This window comes from Homo sapiens, chromosome 15, assembly GCF_000001405.40.
Source record: "Homo sapiens chromosome 15, GRCh38.p14 Primary Assembly".
In the NCBI taxonomy this organism is placed as follows: Eukaryota; Metazoa; Chordata; class Mammalia; order Primates; family Hominidae; genus Homo; species Homo sapiens.
The window spans coordinates 70,375,881-70,379,475 of NC_000015.10; the positions used below are offsets into that span (position 1 = coordinate 70,375,881).

The following is a 3,595-nucleotide window of genomic DNA, read 5'->3' on the forward strand; positions in this document are numbered from 1 at the left end:
GAGACCACATGGCATCTTGGTTTCCTCCTTGGATCACTACAGGGAGTGGCAGCAGCCTGGCTGCTCCAATTGGAACTTAAAAATCACTAGGGATCATGCAGGTCATAAACAAAAGGAAGAAGCACTACTATGGACTCAGGCTGCAGTTACAGTCAACAACCCTCCCTCCACCAAGATCAGCACAGAGAGTCTCTCCCCAACATCCTCATATCACAGCACGCTCCAGGACTGGGGAATCCCTGAGGATGGCTCAGGGCAGCCCAGCCTCCTTTCTGAAAACAGGATTCAGAGCTCATAGAAGCCTCCCTGCCCTGGGAGTCTCAAGAGAGCACTTAAGCACAGACACCTGGTTTAGCTTGGTAGGCACCCCTAGCCTGCGGAGCTTACCCCCGCCGCACACATCTGGAGAGTCAACCATTACAAAGAGAAATAGCAGGACTGGTCCTGCCCCTCCGGGATGGTGCCGCCAGTCTAGAGTAAAATGCCAAGCACGGGCTCAAGACTCCTGCTGAGGCCAATGGTAAGCCAGGCTGCTTCAGGAAGGGAGGGAGGAGAAGGGAGGGAAGAAGAGAGGGAAGAGGAAGGAGGGAGAAAGGGATGGAAGAGGGAAGAGAATCAGAGAGGGAGGGGAGGAGGAAGAGAGAGAAGGCGGGAGGAAGGAAGAGAGGGAGGGGAGGAGGAAGAGAGAGAAGGCGGGAGGAAGGAAGAGAGGGAGGGGGAGGTAGAAGGGAGGAGAGGGAGGGAAGGAAGGAGGCTCTCCAAGCCTCTTCAAGCCTCTCCATCCCTCCCTCTTCAAGGCAAAATATACTTTCTCTAAAAAAAAAAAAAAAAAAAACAACAAAAAAAACCCCCCTTCATCCTTTTCCTTTCTGAACAAGAGCTTTGTAACACTAGATGGTTGATCCGAAAATAACTATTTAGCCCTTAGACAGAGGTGTTTTTTAACAGGAGAAGCTGAGATATTTTGAAAGCCACCCCTGAGGCGAGAAAGTTGTGCAGAAGGCACTAATTGTCAACGCTCCCCAAGGACAGCCTGCCTGTTCCAAGGCAGGAGGAAAGGGCCGAGCTGTCAGCGCCCGATTCCTGGGGGAGTCTGCCTCGCCCGCGCTCAGCCAGCCAGGCCAGCTTCCTGCCCGGCATGGAGGAGATAAAACACAGGAACACAGACGATCTTACATAACCGAAGCGGGACTGAACATTTTCAGCAAATTACCTCTGTTATGAGCTCTGCCATAAAATCGCCTCACAAGTGAATTTAGTTTTTCTTCCCTCCGTGCCCAATCAATTAGCACATGAGTAATACCAAGCCCATTAGGACAAACTGATGCCGGGGGAGTTATGTCATCTGCTATAGAAATGATTGCTTAATATACCAGTTGGCTCCGAGGAGCTCTTAGCCACACACAATCTTGCCATAATCGATAGCAACAGTCAAACAACGCTGTTTCCAACGAGAACACTGCTGGGCAGAGCCTGAGCCAGAGCCAGTGTCGGGGACACAGAAGCTGAGTGGGCCCCAAATACCAGCTCCCTCCCTCCACCTTCCTCCTCCAACCTCCCCTCCCTGCTGCTGCCCTTCAAAGCCAACAGGAGAAGCCTGATGGTGGCTCAGAGAAATAGAACCCCGGACAGGTGGGGTGGGGGCAGCGACGGTGAGAGGGAGTGTCACTGTGGGGGCAGGGGAGTGTGCAGAGAAAGCCTGGAAGACAGGGCTTGCCAGAGCCTGGGAGTTGTGGGAATTCCTATCCAAGAGAAAAAGGAAAGGCATGGAACTCTTTCTGCCTCCATATTTCCTAGCAACTGCAGAATGGGCTTTCAAAAGGAATATTGAAAGATGTGTGAGATTAAACCCTCCGTGGAGCTGAGCATATGTGCATGCTCAAGGCATGTGTATGTGTGCACGTGTGTGGGCACATTCACACATATAAGCATAAACAAGGACAGGTGCCCACACCTACAAGTATATGTTTACATGTATGCATGTACAGTTGGTGGGGTCAGCATGGAGGGCTCTGTGTGTGTGTGTGTGTGTGTGTGTGTGTGTGTGTGTGTGTGTGTGTGTAGCTACTGGAGTACTGCATACATGTGTGCATATGAGTATACATTTGTGTGCAGGTATGTGCATGTGTTCCTATTATCCTAGAATGCAGCCGTCCTGCAAGATTAGCCGGCCTCCCCTATCACGTTGTTCAATCACAATTCTGGGCTGCAGAAACCAAAGGTAAAAGCTAAAAGCCTTTTCCCCAAGATGATAGGGAAGAGAGACAGCGAACTGCAGCTGGCAGCCACCTGAGCGTGGCATCATGGAAAAGTACCAGCTTGGTTTTGGAGCTAGATCGCCCTTGGATCTGGGCCCTGCCCTGCCATCTAGAAGGGCAAGTTCTTTAATTTCCCTGGGCCGCAGTTGCCTCATCTGTAAAACAGAGATGTCAGCGTGACCCCAAGAAGGCTAGGCTAAGGGTTGGTGCGCAGAAAGCACTTAGCAGAGCCTGCCAGAGGAAGCATGCACTCAACTCAGCTATTGTGATTCACTGCTGTGCTCCTGCCATCTCCTTGGTTGCCCAGACAAGGACCCAGATCTCCAGCCCCTCCCTGCTCCAGGCGAGGCTGAGGGAGCCACTCCATTTCCCTCCTAGCACCTCAGAGAAGAGTTGCCATATCCCAGAGTGTGAGCACATCTCACTAGCAGTGTTTGCAGCCTTAGTCTCCACCCATCTCCTCTGGGCAGGCCCCTCGCCCCCTGGCTAGCTGGATGTCTCGCTGGCAAAGTAATTCTTGGCCTCCATAGTCAGGCAGAGCTGCTTTCAACTAGCTACAAGCCCATGGGCCGGGGGCAGAGAGGGTGAGGGCCCAGCTTACATGGGTGAACCCAGGAGTCTGGCATCTCACACACAGCAAAAGAGACACTGGCCTTGCAAACCTTAAATCCTTTACAGATGAGGAAACAAGTTCCCAAGGTCAGCCAGTGAGTTAGAGCCAGGGCCCGCATCAGACCCAGAGATGTGGGTGTGGAAGTGGGATTTTGTTCCCATGTCAGTGGCAGGGTTGGGGGTAGGGGAGGCTGGACCACAAAGCATGCTGGGAGGGAAAATGGACCTGTGGCTATGAGGAGGGGCAAATTAATAACTGGGTATTGTGGGGAGCAGAGGAATGGGTGCAGAAATGAGTGTCCAGTCCTCTGAAATGTTCCATGTTTAGAAGCAAGTTGAGTGCCCTCTTTTCCTCCCTAGCCTCATTTTACCCATTCATAAAATGGAAGAATGGACTCTCTAAGCCTACTCTCTCTCCCATGTTTGATGCTCTGGGACTGGGCTGTCGGGTCCCTGGGACATGGTTGCATGAGCTATAATCTTGCTAGCAGCCGTGGATGGAGAGGTGGGAGTGGAGAGATTCTGGGGTGGTGCAGCTGTGCTCCTGCCCTCCGCTCCTGTTGTAGTGTGGAAAAAAGTATTCTTCCTACTTTCCGAATCACACACAGGCAACTGTAGAGAGGCAACTTGGTAGGGAGACAGGACGTATCCTCCAGCCCCTTCCCTCACTGACGGTGCAGCCGCGGGTGTTGTGTGGTCCCTCTACCCCTCTGCCCATCTTAGAG

General features: G+C 52.4%; 2 annotated features.

Annotated features, from left to right (window-relative positions):
* Positions 2,100-2,601: an enhancer, noted in NCBI's record as "H3K4me1 hESC enhancer chr15:70670319-70670820 (GRCh37/hg19 assembly coordinates)". NCBI's record gives its function as "activates a minimal SCP1, AML or CMV promoter by ChIP-STARR-seq in naive H9 embryonic stem cells {active_cell/tissue: H9 hESC(naive)}" and the evidence as "EXISTENCE:reporter gene assay evidence [ECO:0000049][PMID:30033119]".
* Positions 2,602-3,101: an enhancer, noted in NCBI's record as "H3K4me1 hESC enhancer chr15:70670821-70671320 (GRCh37/hg19 assembly coordinates)". NCBI's record gives its function as "activates a minimal SCP1, AML or CMV promoter by ChIP-STARR-seq in naive H9 embryonic stem cells {active_cell/tissue: H9 hESC(naive)}" and the evidence as "EXISTENCE:reporter gene assay evidence [ECO:0000049][PMID:30033119]".